The sequence below is a fragment of the Homo sapiens genome, chromosome 3, assembly GCF_000001405.40.
Source record: "Homo sapiens chromosome 3, GRCh38.p14 Primary Assembly".
In the NCBI taxonomy this organism is placed as follows: domain Eukaryota; kingdom Metazoa; phylum Chordata; class Mammalia; order Primates; family Hominidae; genus Homo; species Homo sapiens.
The window spans coordinates 107,625,948-107,652,618 of NC_000003.12; the positions used below are offsets into that span (position 1 = coordinate 107,625,948).

Sequence of the window (26,671 nt, forward strand, 5' to 3'; positions counted from 1 at the left end):
TATAATATATATACCTTACATCTTGAGTTACAAAGACAAGTTATGAAAAAAGGGGATTTTCACTTACTTACACATAAGTTCTGGACATATTACATGCTTGGCACACAAGCTGAGACATGATCATTGGTAAAATAGGCTCCAAATTATACAATCGATAATATATTTTCTGTCAACAATTTTAAAGTTTTTCTAAAAGTTTAGGAACATTAATCTATTTAACAAGCAAAGCTAGAAGAAACATGTTCTATATGGGTGACTGGAAAATCTGAGATATTATAGGTTAAATGTTTTGGTGAAATGACCAAATAATGACAAAAAGAGAAAAAACAGTTCAACAAAAAGATATTCCTGTTCCTAGCATATCTGATACCTTCCTGGGCTTTTCTGTAAAATAAAAATAGTTGTAGTATCAATCTGTATTAGTTATCTGTTGAAGTGTAACAAATTATGTGAAACTTAAAACAATGAACATTCATTCTCTCACAGTTTCTATGGTCAGGAATTTAGGAGTCACTTAGCTGTGTGATTCTGGCTCAGGGTATCTCATGAAGTACAGTCAAGATGGTGGCTTAGGCTCTATTCATGGGAAGCCTTGACTAGGACTGGGAGGATCACTTCAAGGTGGTTCACTCACATGCCTGGCAAGGTTGTGCCTGGCTTGCAGGAGAGCTTATGAGTTTCCTCACCATGTGGACCTTTCCATAGGATTTTTTTTTTTTTTTTTTGAGATGGAGTCTTATGCTGTCACCCAGGCTGTAGTGCAGTAGCATGTTCTCAGCTCACTGCAACCTCTACCTCCTGGGTTCAAGTGATTTTCCTGCCTCAGCCTCCCGAGTAACTGGGATTACAGGCACCCACCACCACGGCTGACTAATTTTTGTATTTTTAGTAGAGATGGGGTTTCATCAAATTTGCCAGGCTGGTCTCAAACTCCTGACCTCAAGTGATCCGCCCGTCTTGGCCTCTAGTGCTAAGATTAAAGGTGTGAGCCACCGCACCTGGCCTTCCATAGGACTTCTAAATGTTCTCATGACATTGCAGCTGGTATTTCCCAGAGCAAGTAGTCCAAGAGAGTAGAAGCCACAATGTCTTGAATGATCTGGCCTCAGAATTCTTACTATCATTTCTTCAGTATTTTACTGCTTACACGGGTCAGCCCTATTCATTGTGGAAGGAAGTACTACTAGGAAGTGAAAATTATTGGTTGGGCTTACTGGCTACCACCTTATCTTACCGGATTACTGTAGCAATTAAATGAGATTATTCCAGTGAAGGCTTCTAGAACCTAGTAGGTGCTCATTGCAATACCTGTTTGATTAGTGTGTTTCCTATTGATGGTACTGGGCAGAAGAAATCAATTTCTGGCTGTTTCCCAAATGCAGAGGCTTATGTATCTCTATGAAGAAGAGATGAACACTGATCTGTGGCCAAAGAGATTAAATGTTGAGATTGTTATTGTAATTGGTAGTTTGTTTAGAAGCTTGATTGGTTGTTATTTAGGTTATTTAGGTTGTTATTTAGGTAGTAGCAATTAGTTTTGAGGCAAGAATATTGATAAGTGCTGGAAGCTACAATTTTGACCCACAGTGAACTCTTTAATTTGATTACCACCTAGCATGTAATCATTGAAGAAGAATAATGCATTTCAAGTGTTATACATGCATTTTTTATGATTGAATATCATTTAAACTTTTACTTTCTCTAAGTTTAACTAGGTTCAATTTTTTTTTTCTTTTCTAAATTGACCATATCTCACTATTGATAGTGATATAGGTATGGTTTCCTTATAGAGGACACTAATTATTTAAAAATAATATGTAACAAGAATGTAAAATAGTTATTTTTATATGTTGTAAGAAAGAAAGCATGAACTTTCTTATTTAATGTTTTTCTCTAAATGAATTTTTCTTTAGTATCTGAAAGAGTTGCTTCTTTTTTCTTAGAATGCCTGTTTTGATTATGTTTTCAATGAGTTTTTTTCTCACTATAGCAATGAATAATAAGGGAACTATAATACTGGAAAATGTCCATCATTTTATAAAATCTAGAGTCTGATTACATCTGGTTATTTGTGAATGAAATTAACTGAAGCAATTATCTTCTTTAAACATAGGAATAAAACAAGTTCATAAAGAGGTGGTACCCATGGCAATCAGTAGACTATCTTGATTTATCATGGTATTTATAAGTATTTGGCCACTGGAGGGCTCCATATTTTAAAAAATTATACCAAAGATATAAATGCTTACTGTACCAACTTTAAAGATAGAAATTCTATACAATTTTAAAGTATAGAAAGGTATAAAGGATTCCATATTTTGGAGTAGAATTGCTAATAAGTAAAGATATTGAATTAAAAAGCAGCTGATTATAAATGAAAATTGTGTGCATGTGCAAATAAAGTGTATTTATCAAGAGTTTGCTTTTTTTATTGAAATGAAAAAAAAACATATTACCCAATTTTTAAAATAAAATATCTCTCAACTCAGATGTCAAAATACAAAACTAATCATTTGAAGCCTCTCAGTAAAGAAAGAAGTTGAAATAGATTAAATAATTTTTTTCTCATATCTTTTTTATATGTACCATTTTTTATATGAGGAAACCTTTTTTTAAGGATTCATTGAGATTATTATTTCCATTTAATTTAAGAAACCCTCCAGTTATCTTAGTGACATAATATTAAAATTCACAGAACATTAGGACACGTGAAATTGAACCAAACATAAAATAGGTGTGTCATCAAATAGTTGGTTATCACTGATTTTTAGGGTTTTTTAATACTTAAAATTAGTATTTCTTTGGTCAAGATGTGCAATTTACACTGTCTTGCTCTGAAAATTGTCCTTCACAGCTTGTTTTTCTTTATTAAAATAAAATGGGAACTTATAGGGGTGAGAGATTAGAAACTCCATGTATTAGTACCCGAGAGAAGCATCTTTTTGCCTAGAGAAATTCTAGATAGTAAACTACATCATGTTTATCACAAACAGCATTTTTTATTTCCTTGATCTTTTTCCACTTGAAAGAAGTGTTTTGATTTCTTTGTAATTGTGAAGTGTTTACTTTTTAAATGTTTGAGCTGAGCTCTGGGAAGCTTGCAATTTCTAAGGTAGTTAGTTAAGCTTCCCCTCCCCACCCATAAAATTTGGGTCTCTTTGTACTCAGCTTGCAGAGCTGAGAATGTGTGTTTTGGGTGATTTGAGTAGCTAAGTTCTCAGGTTGTTCAGTAGCTTTTTCCGTTAGAACCTCCTCTTCACAAAAGGAAGATGAGATGCAAATTAATTGCTACTGAGGAGGAAACAAAACAAAATAATATGAAAAGCAAACAACTTCCTTACAATTTCACTTGAAACCTATCCAGGGTCCATGAATATATAAATCCCAACTTATTTCTACATAGAAGGGCCAACTATTTATATAGGGACAAAGATACCGATGAATTATGAGAGAAAGCTGTCCCTAAATTAGTACCCATTATGCACATGATGTTGAGCACCATTGTGGAATGATGTTTGAAGCTACTGTGAAATAACTGGGCAGCCTCACAGAGGATATATTCCCCCTCATCTCCCCTGCTCATTGGTATGTTAAAGATGATAACCAATGTCATTAACTTTTGGCCATGGGATATGTTTTTTTTTTCCTTCTACAAACACATCATTCAGTGCCAAACGTGTTCCATCTATTTAATAGTAATCATGGCATACTTCTGGTTGGAGCTTAGTGGTCACACAGAAATTTTGCCCTCCTCTTGCAGCCACAGAATGCATTCTTAATATAGTCAGCTGAGTTGCAAAACATGTTTATCAAATGTGGTGGAGAACATAGGAAAGGGCATGATGAACCAACCACATCTCTTCCTTATTGCTTTGTGAACGTAAGGACAGTTTCACATTGCGTATTTTGAGACTTTCCTCCAACACCATTTTTTTTAATACACAGATCCATTCAAATATGTGGCATAAACTGGTGAGATGCGTGTCTGTAGAGGTACAGTCTTGCTATAAAAGAGAATAAGCCTAACTGGTCTGATTCAATATTACCTGTGACCGTTTTAAACCCTCCACTTTAGTCCTCTGAGCTCATCAGTCACAAATACTATCAATTTTTAACACTTAGTTGTTATCACTTCAGTCCTTCTATATCCATAGCGGTTCTCAAGTCTGACGGCACCTTAGAATCCCCTGGGGAGCTTTTCCAGCTCTGGATGCCTGAGACCAATGTTCAGGATTATTCTGATTTAATTGGTTTAGGGGAGAGAATGTGTGGTTATCTGCATATTTTAAAGTGTCTCCTGTGATTGTGTTTTGTAGTCTAGCTTGAGAGTGATTGATTCAAAAATAATTGTGGAAACTTTTTGAGGTTCCTACAGATTGTGAGTAGTTAAATGTCTCAGAGTAAATATAAGGACTCTTTATATTTGAATATGTTCTCCCTCCTCCTCCCCACTCCTTTGCACGATGCGAGGGGGGAACTCTGGTATTATTTGGTTGCTGTCATTGCCTAAACTATTTTGGACTTACATTTCTGGGGTGGAAGTGGGGAAAATGACGTTCAGTTTTCAGATAGAATTTGCCCCGACCCAGTGAGTTTGCCATTTCTGTTGCCTGCCAAAGCAATGAGCTTATCTTTCATCTTTAAACCAATTCTGACAGAAAATAGGATGTGATCTGGCCAAGGAAACATAATTCAGTGCGTAAAACATGTTTTGAGTATAGAGATCTTTTGAGAGATCTTCTGAAATGTGTGGGATTATAAGGAAAAGTTGTGGAGGAACAGTGTACACAGTAGACAGGCATGTGCTGTCGGGATGGGGTACTTGAGGATTAGCTTGCCCAGAGAGCAGGTTTAGACCAACTCCTAGAAATACTCAACAGTGTCAGTCATGGGCAAGGGTGATGATGTTCATGTTTCTTTCCTAACTCTTCTCACAATGAAAAAGGAACTGTCAAAAGCCATGCTGTGAAGGTTCCCTGAGATTTCAGCCCATGGGCCCCTGATTTCCCTATTCTCTTTTGAGGAGGACCCTGGGTGACATCTCTTCACCATAGGTTTAGTGGTGTGCATTTAGATGACTCACAGATCTTCCTGTCTGCTCAAACTTTTTCTGATTCATTAATTATAACACCCCATGTCAAAGTGATCCCAAACTGGATCTCTGCCTGACTAGAACAAACTGTTTAGCTTGCTGCTCATCCTAATCACCTGGACAGGAGTCTTTTCCATTACAATAGAGAAATTACCACCTTGTCACTCTGCCCAGCCTTCTAAGCCTTTGGGCTCATTTTTAGGCTCATCCTAGGCACATCTGACTATAGCCTAATCAAACATACCTCATAAAGTGCCCGGGCAGGCACTTGGATAAAAAATAGTGAAGATGTTTAGATTAAAACAAGGAAGAAGAAAATCACTGTAGAAGATACGTGCGGTGGGAGAAAGTGAAGTGTTAGGATAAAATTCAAAGTGTCAAGTAAGTCTCCCAGTGTAGGTCATCTAGAAGACTTTAACCAAACATTTTTGTGTTTGATACATAGTGTAAGTTTTATTCTGGCATGTTTGGGTTAAAAACCATTCTCCTTGCTTAGAATTAGTTAAAAAAAAAAACACTAAAAATAAAAATCTAATTAACTTCAGACAGGTTTTGGGGTTCTATTTTGTTTTTAAAGTCATCATCATTTTTGTGGGATCTCTTACCTAGAAATATATTACCAGTGCATGCATTCTTTTTGCTGTTTGTGGATTATTTATGACAACCTGATGACATTTCAGTTCCAGGTCAATTTTCCTTAGCTACGGAAGACTCTTTAACTTCTCTGCAGTTGATACTTTTCTGCCTTGTGTCGTCTAAGAAATGTAAAATTGATTTTACTTTTAACCATAAGAAATGTAAATAGTAGTTACATTAAATGTGTTATATTTGAAAACTTAAATTATTTTTGCATATATTTATATCATTTTAAGAAAATGTATTTATGGGAGAAGAAGATATTTCAAAGTGATTTGAAAATGGTTTTCAGAATTCTTAATTCAGTTGCCTTTCTTTAGCACTGGCAATCAAGAGCTGGCTCACAGGTTTCAATTTCAGATCCTAGTGGGAACCTCTGGTGGAATCTTAGAAATGCTTTTTTTGTTGTTGTTGTTGTTGAGATGGCGTCTCCCTCTGCCACTCAGGCTGGAGTGCAGTGGCATGACCTTGGCTCACTGCAACCTCCGCCTCCTGGGTTCAAGTGATTCTCCTACCTCAGCCTACCCGAGTAGCTGGGACTACAGGCATGCACCACCATGCCCAGCTAATTTTTTTTTTTTGTATTTTTAGTAGAGACAAGGCTTTACCAGGTTGGCCAGGCTGGTCTCAAACTCTTGACCTCAGATAATCTGCCAGCCTTGGCCTCCCAAAGTGCTGGGATTACAGGCGTGAGCTACCACGCCTGGCCTTAGAAATGCTTTTACATATTTATTAGTACTTTTAGTTTTTGAAAGTGTCTAGGTGTGTCTACTTGTAATCTATTTGAAGTTAATTTTTATAAAGGAAATATGATTTTTTAATTTAGGGTTGTTGGAATTTTCTTTTATTGCTTTTATGTCAGATGTTTGGAATAACCTTAAGAGAAGGGTTCACACAATAAAAATATGTGATTACAAAAAGAGCTCACCTGTTATCAAAGTAGTTATCTGTATAGTGGAATTTTAACTGAAAGGGAATGTCCCCTGGCAGGAGAAAAATGGTAAAATCCCTTAGCAAGTCAATTATAAGGCATGTTAATTCTACAAAGATATTAACCTTATGATCTTCAATTCTGGGGTGCATTCTCTACCCTGCAAGGTCAGCTAAAAATATGCTGAAAAGCAAATTTTATAAGATAATGAAATAAAAATGTGAAGCTAAGTCTGTAAGATACAAATTAGAAGATAAAATCCCTTGTTAAATGATTCTGACAAATCCTTTTGCTCTTTTACAATTAGTAGTCTGTTCTTTCGGGATGTTCATAAAATACTGATTAAAAAACAACGACAACCAAAAGTAAAACAAAACTGATGTACATAGAGAAGCCTTGTAGTTGAATGACTTACCCATCTGATAATTTGTACTGTGGAGATTATTTTTCATATTTGTACAGTTAATGAGTATAACTGTAGCTATTGTTAGCTCTGTTCTTAATATATAACATGGGAAAACTTTATTATATAAGTTACTATAATAATTTTTAATAGATTTGAATGTTTCTAAGTGCTTTGAATTTCAAAAAACAGTTATATGAAAATAGATAATAATGCTATTTATTTTGAATTTCATATGTTAACAGTTTCAATTTAGTGCAATAAAATGAGCATAAGCTAAATATATAATAGTTGAATTATATTATTATTAAATCTTTTGATTTTATGAAAAGTTCTGTACTATCTTTAAATTAGAAACTAGCATATGATCAATTCTTAGTTTCTTAAACAGTTTGATATTAATACTGATATTAATCATGATTTAAAATGCATATAACCTGAACTTTTGAAAATTTATTACTGCACTAGCATATTTGGCGCAGATCAAAGGGATAGAGCTGTCATCTCTGGGCATCATGCCTGCGGACATGATTGATTTCAGGCATCATGGTTTCCAGCTCTCATTTCTTTTGTTTTTTGAAAGATAAAGAATCTTGAAATGTTAGAATCTTAGACTCTAAGGCCTCAGTGCCCTGCACAAACATCCAAGAGGAACTCACTTCATTTTTAGACAGATCTGATGGTTAGAAAGAATTTCCTCATACGGAACCCCCAAAACTGCCTGTTAGAAACATCTGCTTATTGATTTCAGTTTTAACCTCTGAAACCACCATACAAAATTATGTCTGATGTCTCTTCCTTAAGACCATAAAAGGATGTGAAAAGAGCACTTCTTCTTTTCCAGAGTAACATTTTCATTTCCTTCAACTATTGTGCCCCCAACAGGGTTTCTTAGCCCCTCTTCATAACCTCTCCATAGTCCTTATGTTCTTACCAGATGTAGACAGATAGCACCAGATAGAGTGGGCTTTCATCTCTTCTTGCTAGCCAGCTACTTCACAGTGTTGGCTCATATTACAATATGTCACTTCACATGCTTTTCAGTTAAGGTAGGCATCCCCTCTCTATTCTCTACTTTTGGACTTCTATTCATTCCACTTGATGCTACTAAGTTTAGACTATAGGTGATACCTTTCAGTTATATAAACAGATAAAGATGACAATGCTTACTTATGTCTGTGGGTATGCTTACATGCCACCTCGTCTTATTACTCTACCATTGGATTTTTAACTTAGACAGATGTCTGTTAGTATGCATTGAGTTCTCATGCTAGAACTTCAAAAGAGAAACCTAGAGTTTCCCTCTTAGTCCTCTCCTCTACCTCTGTTATCTGTTGTACCATTCTCAGCTCTATGTAGAATTAGTACCATACAAAATATTCAGTAAGTATATTAAAATAGCTTTGGAGAGAGGACTGGAGTATGGAGACAAAGCGCGACCTAATTAATTAAAATTATTTTCTAGCAACAGTGTTGAACTGTGTTGTAGATTTTACTGTAAACAAATAATGTTAAATTTCAAGCCTATCAAGTCTATATCATAGACAATCTCTTGAAGATTCCCCAAAATTTATTATATGAAACTTGTTGCTGATGAGATTCATTGAAGGCTATAAACCATGATTCAGAATTGGAATCCAAAGTGTGTTACTATTCCTGTTACTGTTCACCCTGAAAATAGAATAATTGAAGTTTGCTTTTACTCTTGTTATCAAAGCAGGCTCTGGCATTTCCAGAAACCTGTAAAAGCCTTGTTGATATAGCTAACGTTTGGAAATAAATCTTAGGTCTGAATTTACATTTAATGATTCCTTTCTTTCTATCCACCTTACCTCCAGAGAATAAACAAATACTTTTGTTGTTGCTTTTAAGTTATAGCAAGTACTCTCTTTGTCTGGAATCTGAGTAATGGTAGAGCTCAGTAGTTTGAAGTTTATGTTTTTGATTATGTGATGTTCATGTGTGACCATATCACATATATTAAATTCAACTTTTATGAAAGAGACCTGGGTCAAGTAAGTTGATATGAGGGATCTAGTCTAGTGAAGAAAATAATTATCATATATATTGTATGATACCCAACTCTTGGGTTCCTTGTGACTATTACCATCTATAAAAATAACTCAAACACTGTGCCTCTTCAAGCTATGAAGATTTTATTTGAAAATTATATTTAGAATAGTTTGGGTATTGATATAGTTTACTTTAACTCCTCAGAAATTGATTATGTTTTTCTGGAGGCATGTATGGTAACTCTCACTGAAGCGAAACACTGTATTCCAAATGAGTCCATGTTTTTATTTTGTTTAATTTTTTCTGCTAAATCTAAGAAAACATATCAAGCCATAACCTTGCATGGAAAATGAATTGTGTGCCACTGTCCACTTAAGTATACTGCCATCCATAAGCAAATTTCAAGATATTGGAAATACCATAGAATTAGTTTTAGAAGTCAAATTAACATTTGCCAGTTTTTAGTATTTGTGTTGAAACCTGAAACTTATCTTTATAGGAAATACAATTGAAGGAGAAACTGATATGTGTAGTAAAAATTTCAAATCTAAACATCTTGACTTACTGAATATCATCATGTGCCAAAAATTTTGAATAAAGTCACTGAAATTAGGATTTGAAATAGAGTAAAATAAATCAGTATTCTCTTTCCTTTCTTTTCAGGAAGTATATATGTGGTTCAGTATTTTCATCTTTTTTTTTTTTTTTGGGATGGATTCTCACCCTGTTGCCCAGGCTGGGGTGCAGTGGCACCATCTCGGCTCACTGCAAGCTCCGCCTCCTGGTTCAAGCGATTCTCCTGCCTCAGCCTCCCGAGTAGCTGGGATTACAGGCGCCTGCCACTACGCCTGACTAATTTTTGTATTTTTAGTAGAGATGGCATTTCACCATGTTGGCCAGGATGGTCTCAGACTCCTGACCTGGTGATCCTCCCGCCTCGGCCTCCCAAAGTGTTGAGACTACAGGCGTTAGCCACCGTGCCCGGAGTACTTTTATTTCAACAAAACTGTTAATTGTTCTACTCTCTGTCTCCTCTCCCTTTGGGCACTGGGAATAATATAGCATAAACTTGGTATTATTTATTTTGCATGCTTTGCCATGATTCAGGTTTCGTACCCATTCATCACCCAGCTGCAGTGTTCACGAAGATGGAATAAGCTGAGTGGCCAAGCCTGGGTGATATTTCTATACCTGAAACTCAGGTAGAATTAGGTCAGTCCCACTCAAGGAGCCATGGACTATTTTCCCAAAATATATATACATTCAAGGTACATGGAATATTTTCCTAAAAATCTAAGCGCCTTTACCAAGGAATGGAGGTGGGGGAGACTGTACGATGAGCAGGCAAAAGCATACATGTCTATAATTTGCTGCTTAAGAAAAGCTAATATGGAAAATACACTTTTGTAGCTGATTATTCTGCTATTTAAATAAAGTTTCTACATGAGACTTGAAAGTTGACAATCTGATTTTGATAATTATATAAGAAGTTAACATTTCAAAATACTTATTAGCAGTATTAAGAACCATGGCTATTACAGGTATCTCTCAGGCTGCTTCAGGATAAGTCTTTTGCCATTTGCCTTGTAGTACTTATAATTGGTGCCCCCGGAGTTGTATAGCACTGATTTCTGTGGGTTGCTACACTGGAATTAGTGACAAAGGATAACCCTTATGTCTACCAATGGAAATAGTTGGAGAATATTTCCTTTGCTATTTTGAATTGGCTTAATCTAAACTAAATGTTTTGTATTATTTTAAATATTGACTGCTGTGGGAGCAGTAGAACTAATGCAGAGGGCATTTATTGAGGATTAATTATTGGTAGAGCATTTATATCGTAAAGAGGTTGTTACTGTAGAGAATGTGCTTAGTTTTAATGGAAAACATAATTTTAATTGGTACTAGGTGTTTCTAGTGTGGTGAGCATTTAAAGGAGAATTACTCTTCATATATTCTCAACTGGCATTGGCTTGCTATTTATTCTTCAGTCAATATATAATTTTAATATAGTTAGAATGTAATAAACTGGCATTAACTTTTTAAAAAATAATAGACCTTTTTTTAGAAGTTTTAAGCTTACAGCAAAATTGAGTGGAAACTACAGAGAATTCCTCTATACTGTCTACACTGACATTAACTTTTTATTCTAAGGTATTTATAGGAATATTTAAGAACACAAAGAAATATTTTACATGCTCACTTCTACAGCTAACAGGCTGTAGAAGGCATCTTTCTTTGCCTTCAGACTAGAAAGGAGAAAATGTTTTAGAGCCAAGAAACATTCTCTGACTGAGCATTGACAGTAAAAACTTAGGCCCTGGTTTTACCATACTTTTCCAACTGAACGCTTCTGTAGAGGAACACAGGAAGAGTAGGGATGCATTGTAATCTGGTCTGGAGCTTCCTGCTAGTCTGTGGATGACAAACTGCAGATCAAACGGATTGATCATATTCCAGAAGGGCAGTGTGATACAGGGCAAGTGTACTGACCATGGCAGTAGCCCTGGGTTCTGGCCTACCTCTGCCTCTGTCTTGGTTGTGTGGTCGATGGGTTGAACTGAGTGGCTTCAAACTCTTATCTGCCTCCAACATTCTGTAATCCTGTGATTTCACAGGATGTGTGATAGGGAGAAACATCAACTCCTACAAGGGCAGCAGTGTGAAGTCATGAGAAAAGCAATGTGAAGACCTGGGATGTTGTCACAGCTCTATCATAAACCAGCTGATGGCCTTTTGTGTAGTCACTTAAACTTTCTGGGTCCTACTTGGCGTCAGCTATGGAAATGTGATTGGACTTCCCTGATGGACTCTAAGGAAAGTTTCTTGGATTCCTTCTTTCCCTCCCTTCTTTCCTCCTTCCCTTTACTTTCTTCTTTCCTTTCCTTTATTTCCTTCCTTTTCTTTCTTGAGACAGGGTCTTGCTCTGTTACCCAAGTGGAATGCAGTGGTGCAATCATGGCTCCCGGCAGCCTTGAACTCCCAGGCTCAAGCCATCCTCCCACCTCAGCCTTCCAAGTAACTGGTACTAACTACAGGCACAAACTACCAAGCCTGACTAATTAAAAAAAAATCTGTACAGGCAGGTCTCACTGTATTGCCTAGGCTGGTCTCGAACTGCTGGAATCAAGCAATCCTTCCACCTCAGCCTCCCAAGTAGCTGAGACTATAGGTGTACATCACTATGCCCAGCAAATTTTTAAATATTTTGTACAGGCAGGGTCTTCTCAGTATGTTGCCCAGGCTGATCTCAAACTCCTGAGTTCAAGTGATCCTCCTGCCTTGGCCTCCCAAAGTGCTAGAATTATAGGCGTGAGCCATGGAGCCCAGCCTAGTTTTCTGATTTAAAACAACTAATTGCTATGTGATGTTATTTGTCCCAAGGATAACTGCTTTGTAATAAGTTACTTCAAAAAGGAGCATATTGACAGTTGCCATTGGTCACTTTTGAGCAGACTCCTGTGTGTCTTCCTTATCAGGAATATCCTTGGAATTAATATACCTGGAACAATTCTTTCTGCAGGTAAGCGATTTGCTGGAAACATGTTAGACACACTTGAAACAGGTACTTTTTCTGGACAGTACAGTTTTTTGTTTTTTTAACAAGTAACATATGACCAGGCACACTGGCTAATGCCTGTAATTCCACATTTTGGGAGGCCGAGGTGGGAGGACTGGTTGAGCTCAGGAGTTCAAGATGCCAGCCTGGGTAACGTGGAGAAACCACTCCTCTACCAAAAAAAAAAAAAAAAAAGTATACACACACACACACACACACACACACACACACACACACACACACACACACACAGACAAATTAGCCAGGTCTGGTGGCATGTGCCTACAGTCCCAGCTACTCAGGAGGCCAAGGTGGGAGGATCACCTGAGCCCAGGAGGCAGAGGTTTTAGTAAGCCAAGATTGCACCACTGCACTCCAGCCTGGGCAACAGAGTGAGACCCTGTCTCAAAAAAGCAAAGGAATATGTTATAATTTTTGATCATAATATGCTGTTAAGTGATATTTAATGTATTAATAAGGGAAAATAAGAGATCACTGTCCTTTGCTTCTTGGAACTGAAGATTTTCCATTTAAAATTATGTAAATTGATAATTAATGACTTCCCTTTTTATCAAATGACTTTGGACTAAATTTTTTTATTAAGAATGTGATTTTGTAATATATTGCAAATTATTGCCAAATTATTGCTGACGTGAAAGGAGCCCAGGGAACACTCTTGCCTCAACAGGGGACAAGGTGGTCTTAAGGTTTCTCCAGTGGGTTTCATTTGCAGAACCCCTTCCTGAAGGTGCAGGCTGATGCCTAAACAGTGTAGGTCAGGGTTTACTTCAGCTAACCCAATCTCTGAGGGGTATCCCATGGGGCTGGGATTATCTTCACTGTTTATTTTCCAGCTTAGTTCTCAGTGGCTTGATAGAGCTTATGAATCTTCCCAAAGATCCTGGGGCTTCCCTGTCGTTATTCCTGATGTAGCTGCTGGCAAACATGTTTTTATACCCTTCCTGGAAGTGAAACTCTTTTTGCCTTAAATGTGCGATATCCCATACCTGAGAAGGTCTCATTGATACAATTCATAGGAGTTTAAAAGAGGCATCTGACTGGACTAATGCCTACTCCTTTTACTTCTCCACTTATGGAAACTGTAGACATTCATGGTTCCACCATGGTCCCTGCAGCAAAAATCTTATGGCAATGTACATAATGTACATAATGTACAAAGATCTTATGGCAATGTACATTAAATCAGCTAATGTATATTGAAATTGGTAGGGTTAAAAGTGAGACTGTCAGAATTAAACATATATGAAAGCCATCTAAATTAAAATAAAATCTATGGTGAAATAACACTTGAGAAGTAGCAATTCATTCAGCACCCAAATGCTGAGAATAGTCAAGGCAAACTTAAGTGTGTTCACAATGTAACTTTATTAAATGCTTTTCTACCCCTTAGTTTTTATCTCTAATGAGATTACTGACATTTATTGAGCACTTATTGTATAGCAAATGCTTTGAATTTATAATATCTTCTAATAATTCTGAAGGCAACAATTAGAGATGTAGGGATTGTTATCCCAATTTTGCTGATGAGGAATAGAGGCTCAGAGAGGCTTAGGAATTGGCCCACAATTGCAGGGTAGTAAACCTAAGGCCAGTATGCTTAGTATACCACCATGCTGCTAACATTACTCTGCTATTTAGGAAACTATGGAGAGAAAAAAGAGCAAATCACATTGCTTTCTCATTTGCCCACATTTCATGTCCTACTTTCTCACGTGAACCCTGTACTTCAACCAGATCTGCTGCATATGCCTCCTATCCCTTCCAGCAAGTCATGCTTGCTTTAGTATTGAACCTTTGCTCATCCTATGCCTTTAACACTCTCCTCCATCCTGTCTGTCTGTATTCCCAACTGCCATTGGTTCTTCAGGTTCCAGTTTTATTCGTCTCCTGTGTAGAGATCCCCTGGTATATTCTAACTTTAAAAAATTCCTTTCCTTACCATTTTGACATTTATTACATATTATGCTACTATTATTTAGCTTTGTGTGTTTGTGTATGTGATCACCCAACTAGATCTCATCAGCTTTAAGAAAGCAGTAACTATTATAATAACTGTTTTGTTGTTGTTGTTGTTTCATAAGATGGAGTCTTGCTCTGTTGCCCAGGCTGGTGTGCAGTAGTACAATCTTGGTTACTGCAACCTCCGTCTCCCGGGTTCAAGTGATTCTCCTGCCTCAGCCTCCCAAGTAGCTGGGATTACAGGCATCCAACACCATGCCCAACTAATTTTTGTATTTTTAGTAGAGACAAGGTTTCTCCATGTTGGCCAGGCTGGTCTTGAACTCCTGACCTCAGGTGATCCACCTGCCTCAACCTCCCAAAGTGGTGGGATTAACAGGCATGAGCCAGCGCACCCGGTCTGTTAATAGTTTTTGCAGTGTTAATGCATAGGAGGTTAGTAATTTCCCAAACAGTAAAAGGCTACATCATTTGCCTTGCTATTCTGTTGGCATATAGGTAGGTGGTAGGTAATTTCTTTTCTTTCTTTTTTTTTTTTTTTGAGACTGAATCTCACTCTGTCGCCCAGGCTAGAGTGCAATGGCATTACCTAAGCTCACTGCAACCTCCACCTCCCGGGTTTAAGCAAGTCTCCTGCCTCAGCCTCCTGAGTAGCTGGAACTATAGGCCCACACCATCATACCCAGCTACTTTTTGTATTTTTAGTAGAGATGGAGTTTCACCATGATGCCTGGGCTGGTTTTGAACTATTGAGCTCAAGTGATCCACCTGCCTGGGCCTTCCAAAGTGCTGGGATTATAGGCGTCAGCCACCAAGCCTTGCCGGTCATTTTTAAAAATAACTTTATTCTTGGTTCAATATTAAGTACTGAAGGGGAGAGGATTTGCAAATCTTTCATCTGCTGTTATAAAGGGCCCATCTGAACCAATGAATGCTGGAGTTTTCTGTCCCTCCTACCTAGTGTTTTCTTATACTTTTTTTTGGAGAATCCAAACAAATGGACAAATCTGTAATTACTTAGTAGTTACTATGGTTTACTGCCAAATTATCTAGGGAACTCTTAAGACATGTTTGCCTTTATTACTATATTTAATGTTTTTCAACTGAAAGGCTCTGGGAGTAATGAGGAAATGCCAAGGTAGGGGTGGGAAAGTGACAAAGAGGTAATTCAGATTTGCATTTCTTTTGAGAGATTTCCATTCTCAGTATAGCTGTCATTGTAATTTCAGTTAAAGATTGGTGCCTGGCCAGAAATGCCTGTGAAACAGCTGTGGTTTAAGCTTCAACTGTAAAAGACAGACGGGTAATTTTAACAAAAGTTTTCTCTTTATTCATAGTTTATGTTGCCACTTTCTTTATTTTATATGTGTGTGTATGTGAGTGTATATATGTTCCTGCAGTTATCTTTCTCTATATGAAGATATTTTATTTCAGCAGATGATTTAACTAGAGATCAGACTGTCAGTTTATCATTTCTAGGCCTTTAGCCTGTAGTGGACAACAGTGACCTGAGGCATGGAATTAATTGGCCAAAATTGCATAACAGTTGGTATAACAACATCATTTTCAGTACTACAAATTGCGTAATGTGTATGAGGCCACTGTTGGGAATAACAGAATATATAGAATGGGAAAGGGTTATGCACACCCAGGACAGGGAAGGCTTTAATTAAATCAACAAGAATTTTTTGACTACAAACACAACTCCATTATATTACATGGAGGTAAAAGCTTGGTGATTAAGTTCATTTTATCAACATGTAGTATATAAAATAATGAGTCAAGAAGAAGATAAGAATTGTATCCATGTAAAGATGGAGAAGTAGTTTTAAAGTAGGAAAAGTCTCTTAAGAAAACTTGCATTATAAAATGGAAATTGGAATACAGTACCTACTGACGAAATGGAGGAAGCCAGCGGAAGGTTTTGTGGAAGAGTGGGTATTAGAACTCCTAGTTCGTGACCTATACTTGCTTGGGGTCTCAGAAATCATGCTGGCTCTTAAATTAGAAATACAGTCTCTTTGAAAGCATACATGTAGTTGAAAGCAGTCATTTAAAAATTTGCTTTTTCATTCCCTACCTCCCCCCTTTTTAAGGTATGAAAGCATGAGTATTCTGTTCTCCAGAGGATGAGGAAAAAATCCTTATTTCCTTTTTCTAGCAGTATGGCTATTTTTGTTGTTGTTTTTACTCTATAAATGGAGAGGCATGTGTACCATGCATGGTATCATGCCCAGCAGTTTTTTTTTCAGTTGAATGTAATTGTTCCTTAGCAAATAATTGCAGTCCAGAATGACTTTTATTGAGCTTGATTGAATTAGGGGTATGTATGAAAATGAGTTAGTTAAAGCTTAATCTATTACCCAGAGAATTGATGAAAACATCAGAAAAGCAGTCATTCATGGGGATTAAATATTCTTCTGTGTAAGTGGGCAGCATCGTTACCTCGGAGTCCCTTCTGCACTGACTAGGTAGTAGTGACATCAGGGTGCAAAACACAGTTTTGGCATACTAGGGGATTTTGCAATGACGTGCCTTTGAATGTTATGCTGGACATTAACACTAATTGGGAATCTGCCTCATTGTAGGAGGTGGCACCTCACCTTTTTTAGTATAAAAAGCTTTTTAAAACAGCACCTCAAGGGGGAGTGTGAGAGCTGTGTCAAAAAGCCAGTTGCTTCAGCGTGTGTCAGTGGTGGTTTAGGCCACATCTGTAAGATAGGTTTTTCAGATGCCCTGTTTGTAAGGGACAAATAATATTTAATAGATGGCTGTCCCACCTGCCATTATGAAGTTTCTTAGAGGGAATCCTAAGCTGTGCCAGATCAGTGCTGGCTAGGACTGGGAGGGGGGTGTGCAGTGTCATGGGTGGGAAGCAGAGGCCTTGAAAAGGGAAAGACAAGTTCCTAGCGAGGCAGTGGAGCTAATCACCAGGAGTCAGGAAGCCAAGGCTCTGTGGGGGTGATTGGGGGTTGAAAGTAAGCCAAAGTGGGACCCAGAGAACACAGACAGGTACCAGGTGGCTCAGATGAAAATCTGCCCAGGCGTTGGTCTCAGGGCTCATTCAAGTCACCGTTCTATAGGGTTGTGCTCATACTTAGGGCATTTCCCCCTGCTGGCCCACCTGCCTTTCTGATACCTCACATCACCACTCATTTCCGTCAAATCAGTACACTCTCTGAAATACTAGTGATTTAAATGCAGACCAGGCTATGCTGCAACTGCTTTTCTGAGGCTACTCATGTGGCCATTTGTAATAGCCAGATAAAATTTGGAGTGTTTCTGTTTGGCTGTCAGAGAACTCAAAGGCCTGTGATAGACTTATCACAGGCAGGACCCTCAGCCTTGAAACTGATGTCTGCTCTGTGGCTGATTTCCTGGCTTCTTAAGTCTACCATGATTCCTTCGTTATTTTAAGAGATTTAAAAAACCCATATTGGGCAAAGCATAGCCAATCTCCTCTCTCACCCCTCTGCTACTTTATCTATAGATAGTTGCATCATGGGTAATAAATTATTGAACAGTTATCAAGACAAAGTGCAATTATGGTCAACTTTTTGGAGTATATTCAATTATATTAATAGAAACAAATCTCCAAGGGTACCTGAAGATTAATGAGTTTATCTTTGAGCTCCTGAAAGAACTTACTTACGTATATAGGGATGTATAGGGTATTTTATTTCTCAGATAGCATATATTCACTTCTTAAAGAGAAAATCCTTAAATCAAAATAAGAATGAAACTCACACTGTCAAAATTAATGGTAGACTTTCTTATCCCAATTTTGGCAGTACAAATTATATATATTTTTAGATTATACCAGTTTATTTACTTGACGTTTATTTACAGTTATTTACTTCATGATATTTACTCATCTGTTTCATAATATTTAATGCTTCTTCTGTATACTTTCATAGATGTATATGAAAAGTATGTGAATGTGATAGTATTATGAGATTTTCTTTAAAAATGTTTTTGATATTTATATGTTGCCTATTTTATAATAATAGACTTTGATATTATTTATTTCATCAGTGTTTGGAATTGGCATGCTGCTTTCCTAAACTGTAGTAAAAGCGTAGACGTTTGACTTGAAAGTATTCATATGTGTCCTTTATAGTTTGCTTCAAAGATCTGGATTTATTCTTTTATCTATGCCCTTGTTTTAAAAAATATGGATGAATGAGTAGTATCTTGCCTGAAGCCACATGAGACCAATTAATACTTTATTCATTCTTTCCAGCTTTTGTTTTTGTTAATAGCACGGGGTGGCAACTGAGTCATCTAATTCTAGATAGGATTACTCAGATGAATCATTACATATTTTTGATATTTAATGTGAAGAGCCAGTTCTTCCATATCATAGTGGCTTATTAGAAAAAAAAACTTAAGCTAAGCCATAAAATGACTGATATTATATTGATAGAGCCATAAGCCAGAAAGTGATATCCAGTTTCTACAGTGTGTAGCTTACAGATTTAGAAGAAATATATTGTCATAATCTGCCTAGAGCAGGGAATTGCTTCTTTTAGTTGAGTGTGGATTTAGTTTCACCACTGAAGCAGCCTAAATTTGTCTTACAAAGAAACATAAATGATAACTTTTGAATTCTTAGAAATGATATGGTTTAGGGATATATATTTGCAGTGTTATTAAAATAAAATATTCCATTTAATTTACATGTACACCATTTCACTGATTTTGATCTTATAATTACTTCATCCTTTATCCTTAAAAAATAAAAATTATTTTCTATTTGTCCCCCTCACCCCAGGCTGCTTTCTTGTTTGTTCGTTTTTACTATCTTGCCCTATTAACTTTAAAATATTTAAAAGGCAAATCATAAGTATTAATATCTGAATCACAGTTTATCTAGTTGAGTGGGGCCAGTCATTTAAAATAACTTGAATTTAGTTAGGGTGTCGATTTAACCCCATGTTTTTCCAGGGGATTTGCCTGTAATTCTACACTTAATTATAGCCAAAAGGCCAGGAAGTTATTGCCCGTGATTAATTCTTAGTATGTGTAACCTTAATCTCAGAATTTCCGTTGAATAATTTTAGTGACTGTCTTTTTGTTAAAATTGAAAATAAACACTTTAGGGCCACTTTCTCTAACTAGCATTGGCATAAGGATATTTGCCTCATGTTGATTGTTTGGCTGGTAATTCATTTTATTTGGAGATTATTTTGCTAAAGAGAATGAGTGTCAGCTTTAATTTGAAAGGCCTTCCTGGCTCACCATTTTAACTACTTTTCTATGGGTCCTTCACAGAATCCTGCTGCATCACAGAAGCTGGAAGTTCTGATGTTCCACTGAAATCACAATGGAAAGTCTTGACTTGACTGGTAAGAGCTGTTGTGAAGGTACATCTTACTTACTTACCTGGAAGCAGTGAGGCAGTCAAGAATTATGTGCTGTCAGAGCTGGTCTCAGCATGATCAAGGAAGTGTGATCATTGGATATTTTTTTCTTGTCAATTTTATTATTTTTTAAAGTGTGACTTTTATTGATCTCCATTATCAAGTAAGTTAAATTTTCTTTTAAAATCATGAAAGTGTTAAAACTAGCGGTTTCAAAATCTCTGATTCGTTTCTCCACAGTAGTGCATTATTGGTGAAAGTCAGTTTTCTAAAGTCCTAGATACTAAGAGGTTATATACCTAAATAGGTATTAAATTGATCTGTTCCCCAAAAGCTGTTTTTTGTACTGCTGTTGGCTTTAATTGAAAAATGAATCAGTATCGAAGCATTATGGAGTTTTTCTTACCTGTTAAAAATAATAGAGGTGGGTGTAGCTGCATCTTGAAATCACTTTATATATGAAAACCACATAATGAAGGAAAAAGTTGAGATTTTAAAATATATACATGTGCCAAATTATATAAAACTCTGAAACTCACAGATACTATAACTGTCCTTTTATATGTTAGTTATTTTCAAAGCTGTCGTTTTAGGGGAAAAATTTTTTTAACTTTAATGTATGGTAATAATATTTTAAAATTAGTTTTAATAATAATTACTTAAATGCCTAGAGTTTTCCCAATCTGGGAATCAGATGTGGGATTGCTTTACTGGTATCTGAATACTTTATGGTGAACTGTTGATTTATAAGACTGAAGAAACAGTTGTGAATTAAAATGAGCAAATATAGTAAATATTATTTAGTTATAGTTTTCAGGAAAGGAACTTATTCTTTAACTTTTTAATTAAGATTAATCCAAAACCTTTTCTATTTTAAAGTATATTTGGTAGCTTATTACATCTGTCTAGATTATGTGTCTACCTTCCCCTTTTGGTAACTATATCACTGAATATTGCTTCTATGATGTCAGTATAAATATAAGGCCTCTGAACGAGTCTCCTAAAAGTCATTGTCTAGGATTGTATACATAGTAAAATGTATATGATTTACTTGAATGTGTATTTATAATAGGTCATTTAAACAACAAAACCTTAATGCCAGTGAGAAGATTGGAATTTAATTATTGTTTTTCTTCTTCACTGTGCTATCCTTCAAGGCACACTTGTTACAAATATTAATACAAATTCTGAACTTAAGAATGTCAGCCAGAATACAGTTAATTATGGTTTTACTGAGTCAGGAGTATAGACTATGGAATTTTCAAAAATTGATACTGAAATTTCAAGTATGTTCTCATTTGCTAATCTAAAAGAGAGTTGAGTATGGTGAGGTTTAAAGAAAATGGAATTTGTGGCAGTATTCTGAATTTGCTAAATATGAATACATATACAAAAAGCAAAGCCGGACACTTTATCTGACCTGTTCAGAAAAACTAAGTAATGAACCAAGATTACCATGGCAGACTTCACTAAGTAGCCATCTGAGCAATGATTTCTGAATGTTAATCAGATTATTGCAATAGAGTGTTTTATTGACTATAAGCAGAAATTGACAGAAATTCACACTGCTGATAAAATTTAAAATGGAACCTTAATTGCAGATGGCTAAGACTGCATACTTTCTAGCTGACCTATATGCTTGTCTTAAATGCAGTATTAACTGAGAAATAGAAAAGATGCCATACAAAAACCAGGAGTAATTGAGGAAACAAATCCTAGAAGATGTTACTTGGCAAAAGGATGCCAGGGTTCAATAAATCTGGGAAACATATCAGTCAACTTAGTCAATTACATTTCAGTATCAGAAGAGCCTCCAAATCTTAGTGGTTTATGGCAATAAACATTTATTTCTCATTTATGTTCATGTCCCTGATTAGTCTCCTGCCACTCCGCTCCGTGTCCTCTTCATTCTTGGACCAAAGCTGAAGGAGCAGTCTTTCTGGCATGTACATGTCTTGCAGAGGAAAGAGGAAAGAGAAAAGTGATGGAACTATGACTCTTAACAAGGCTGCTTGGAAGTGGCACATGTCATTAACTCTCATATTTAATTGGCTAGAGCATGTCACAGGGTGAAAGCTGCATCATCTGAGAGAGTGGCCTTGTAAGAGGGGATAGGGAAAGACTGATAGGGAGAAACAGTACATATTTTAACTATTATATCTGCAAAATACTATCTGCTGCTTTTTTAGAGACAGAATGCACATAATGTATTAAAGATTCCAGGAAGTTCTTCGGTAAATTAATCTGTTTAACATGTCAAATTGTTTGACCATGAATCCTTTTGTTGTTATATGGAATATTGTCAGTGACAAGTTTTAAGGATACAATTCAAGAGTTTCTTGATGTTTTGAACCTTACAACTTTTCCTAAAACTTAGGAAAAGTTTCTAATATGTATAATAGACTTACATTATTCTTTTATAGGTAATTTTAAAGTGAATAAAAATTACTGCAAACTGGACCCTCTGTAATTTGCATACAGAATTAGAGAAAGGAAATATGATACTTAAAATAATTCTTTTACCTATGTATAATAGGTTACAGAACTTTGACAGATATTATCTAATTTGATATAGGATGAGAATGAGGAAATGGGTACTTCGCTTTTTCCAGTAGTAATATATTAATCGTACTAGATATAACGGGAGCCAAATACCTTTGTCTACTTAAGTTCAATTTCAAGAATCATTCTAGTGATGAAGAATGCAGACACCATAGGGAGCTTAACAGTTGCATCCGGGAGTTTTCTAAGATACTCTACCTGAGGTCACATTTACTATACAGTGACTTTTGCATTATTATTATCTCTTGAATCTTCTAGAAAATTGTTAGCACATAGAACTCCTCAGCCAATAGTGGTTTTATTCATCTCACAATATGAAAAAACATTATTATCAAACTTGTGTGGATTAAGATGATTGATTTAAAGATCCAATAGTATATAAACAATGCTTTGTGATAGTTTATAGTTCCTTAAGATTGGGAGTAAGGAACATGCTTAGACATCTGTATTAGTCTGTTCTTATGCTGCTAATAAAGACATACCCAAGACTGGGTAATTTATAAAGGAAAGAGGTTTAATGGACTCACCGTTTCACATGGCTGGGAGGCCTCACAATCATGGCAGAAGGTGAAGGAAGAGGAAAGGCACGTCTTACGTGGCAGCAGGCAGGAGAGCACGTGCACGGGGACTCCCCTTTATAAAACCATCTGATCTCTTGAGACTTAATCACCATTACAAGAATGGCATGGAAGCAAACCCACCCCCATGATTCAGTTACCTCCCACCAGGTCCGTCTCATGACATGGGGATTAGTACGATTTAAGATGAGATTTGGGTTGGGACACAGAGCCAAACTATATCAACATCTGCATATCTTAAAAAAAAATAAGGTTAGAAGGCAAGACACTATAGCAAAACATGGGTTTTGGATTCAGATAAATCCTAGTTTTGGCACTTTTTAATTGAAAGCATTTGGGTGATTATATTTGACCTCTCTGAAATGTTGTTTTCTCATTGTAGTATAGGGCTAATGATCTCTACCTTGTAGGATTGTGAGAATTAAATGAGATAATTGGGTTAATTGCCTGAAAAGAGTCCCTGGCACATAGAAGCACTCAAGAAGTAGTAGTTTGAAAAAGAAAGATGTGATCAAAGTTCAAGAATCTTGATACCCTGTACCATACCTCTGATAGACATCCGACAGTGCATATCTAAAATGTGTTTGTTTTTAAACACATATGTCCACACACCTGCCAAGGGTTTTTAAAAAATTGTCCTGAATGCATAAGAACTTAGGCATTCTTCTTTACTTCTACCGGAAATTGGAAGTGGCTTTATCCTTACTGCTGAGAGAAAGAGTGAGTCCTGTAGAAATATTCGTTACCGCATAATCTAATAATTAACTTCTTGCCACTGGGAATTTGCTTCTTGCCACTGGGAATTTGGAAGTCCCAAGGACAGAGTGATGGTCAAAAGTTCATATACTTTATGGCTTTTACTCTGTATATTAATAAGGTCAGCATTAAGTTGCAAAAAGTATCAAATTTTATATAATCTTTAGGCAAGGTACAAGAACAGAAAATGGTGCTACTGAAATTTTTTTCCTCATATAGAGGAAATACTGTTTGGTTTCAGAAGAAATAGACATTTCTATTTTAAGATTTTTATGGTGCTGTTCCCAGTGTGAAGGTTTAATTAATTTAGACTCCTTAAAGCAGGGGTCCCCGACTTCCTGGGCCTCGGACTGGTACTGGTCCATGGCCTGTTAGGAACCAGGTTGCACAGCAGGAGCTGAGCACCACCTGAGCTCTGCCTCCTGTCAGATCAGCAGCGGCATTAGATTCTCATAGGAACCTGAACCCTACTGTGGACTGCATATATGAGGGATCTAGGTTGCATGCTCCTTATGAGAATCTAATGCCTGATGATCTGAGGTGGAACAGTTTCATGCCCAAACCATCCCCCCCACCTCCCCTACCATTCGTGGAAAAATTGTCTTCCATGAAACTGGTCCCTGGTGCTAAAAAAAAAACATGGGGACCACTGCCTTAAAGAACTTCTCTATTGACGTTGTCCCCTTGTACTTTCAGAATCAAGTACAACATAGTAATATCTTTTATGATTCAAAGCCTTATGCTTTTTCTAAAATGACTACTTTGTTTAATTTTAAAATAGCACATGTATATAAAAATGGTTTTTTTGGGCCTGGATTAGTCTTCAAATTGTTCCAGGCTGTTCTCTTTATAAATGGAGTATTTTTGTAACTATTAGTTGCTTATTCACCTGGATTATTGGTAGAGTAAAACCACCTCAAAAAATATAAACTCTGCATCTTTAGAGGTTGTATTAGTTTGCTTGTGTTGCTGTAACACATAAAAAACAAGTGTCAGACTGGGTGGTTTAAACAACAGACATTTATTTTAAGTTGAAAGTTCTGGAGGCTAGAAGTCAGTGATTAAGATGCCGGAAAAGTCAGTTTCTAGTGAGGTCTGTCTTCCTGGCTTGTACCACCAGAAAGGGCTGCCTTTTTGCTATGTCCTTACATGGCCTTTCCTCTGTGTAGGCAGCGAGCTCTAGTGTCTCTTCCTCTTCTCATAAGTACATCAGTTCTTTGGGATTAGGGCCCCACCCATATGACCTTGCTTAACTTTTATTTCCTCTTTGTAGGCCCTGTCCCATCACATTGGGGACTGGGGCTTCAACATATGAATTTGGAGCGGGACACAATTTCATCTATAACATAGGTTTTTGTTTTTCTTTACCAAAGAATGAAGTAAAAGTGTTTTAAAAAATACTTTCTACGTGATTTAGTCTATAAACAAGATAATCTGGTTCGTTAACAGTCTTCTAAGATTCTAAAAATATCTTTGATACTTTTGAGGAGGGAGACGTTTGAAATTACTGAATTCCTGTTTCTTCCACTTTGAAGTCACCATCCATGAAAATAAGGTTCTTACAAGTGAAGGAATTAAGTCTAAGAACTTGAAAATTCAAGTGATTTATATGATGGAGGAATTACATCATTATAAAAATTGACTTCCATGTGTATTTATTGTTATCTAGGAATACTAGAAATGTATTTGAAAATTAAGTTGAACAAGATAATTACTCTTTTGGGTTATACCTGTTTCTGTTTACTTTATCAAGCCAATTCACATTTTGTAAGGCAATATTCTTTTACTTTGTGAATCAGTTGAGAATGCAAACAAGGAAATGGCATATACTTAAGATTTTTGGTAAACAGAAAAAAAAAAGATTGTGTATTTGAAATAATGCCAACAGAAGTCAGGGAGTCCTAAGTCTGATAGATCTACTTAATTATTGTCCTGTCTCCTTACCTGCCTTCTTTCTTTTTTCCCCTTTTTTCTCTGACATCAGCTTCTAAATTAGGTAATGGATGCTTGAATTTCTCAACCTGCCTTATTTTGTTGTTGTTGTTGTTATTTTGTTTTGTTTTAGGCTTTTAGCAGCCTGTAGCCATGGTTTTTAGTTTCTGTCTCTAGTAAGCAGAAAAGAGGGCTGAGGAAGGGGCTTTACTGGTTCAACCAGAAACAGAAACTAAGAACCCATGACTGAATTCTCTCCCTTGGACACCTAAGTGCAATGTCTGTATAGTACTTCTTTCTATTATATAGTCTTTTATAACCTGCTTAGTTTAATTTGCAGTTCTTTTTCTATTAGGTAAGTCAGTTGATGGGTGCTTGGGATTAGTGCTGAGTAAATAGTGCATTAACTTGTGGGATATTGATATAGGCTCAAATGAACTTTGTTTCTTTTTTGGACGATTTTTGTCTGTGTGTACATATGTGTTTCTGTGTGTTCTACATCACTAGAATAATTTTAGTTTCTAGTGATTTGGCATTTGTCTAAAAAATGTAATCAAAAAAGGAAACAAACCTTTTAGACAAATACTTTTATGTAAAAATAATTTTAAATTCATTTGTAAAATTTACCAGTTTTTCTGTGTACTTATAGACTAAAGGATATGCTATTCAGCAGTGATATAATTTTAATCAGTTTGTCAGTGTAATTGTTTTGTCCACTTTTGATTTCAGTCTTCCCTAAAAGCTATTTATGAAATGACTCAAACTCAAAAACCTTGTATATAAGGAATTTTACCTGTGTATTTCTTCTTAACATTAAGATCAATCTAATGATTGTGAAATTCACTAGTTGAGGACAGTATGAATAT

The 26,671-nt window shown here is 36.3% G+C and overlaps 1 protein-coding gene across 16 annotated transcripts in view, besides 1 other annotated feature; it reads left to right on the plus strand.

The window, feature by feature from the left end:
• BBX (BBX high mobility group box domain containing) overlaps positions 1–26,671 on the plus strand; it is a 288,378-nt gene that overhangs the window by 102,986 nt on the left and 158,721 nt on the right. For 10 of the 16 annotated variants that reach the window (XM_005247644.5, NM_001142568.3, NM_020235.7 and 7 more), the window contains one exon: positions 19,889–19,962. The gene's annotated coding sequence lies outside the window, so the exon portion shown is untranslated. The other 6 variants (XM_024453646.2, XM_047448597.1, XM_011513001.3 and 3 more) reach the window with 3 other exon arrangements.
• Positions 24,962–25,162: a silencer, noted in NCBI's record as "peak4758 fragment used in MPRA reporter construct". NCBI's record gives its function as "represses an SCP1 promoter by STARR-seq MPRAs in K562 erythroleukemia cells {active_cell/tissue: K562}" and the evidence as "EXISTENCE:reporter gene assay evidence [ECO:0000049][PMID:32103011]".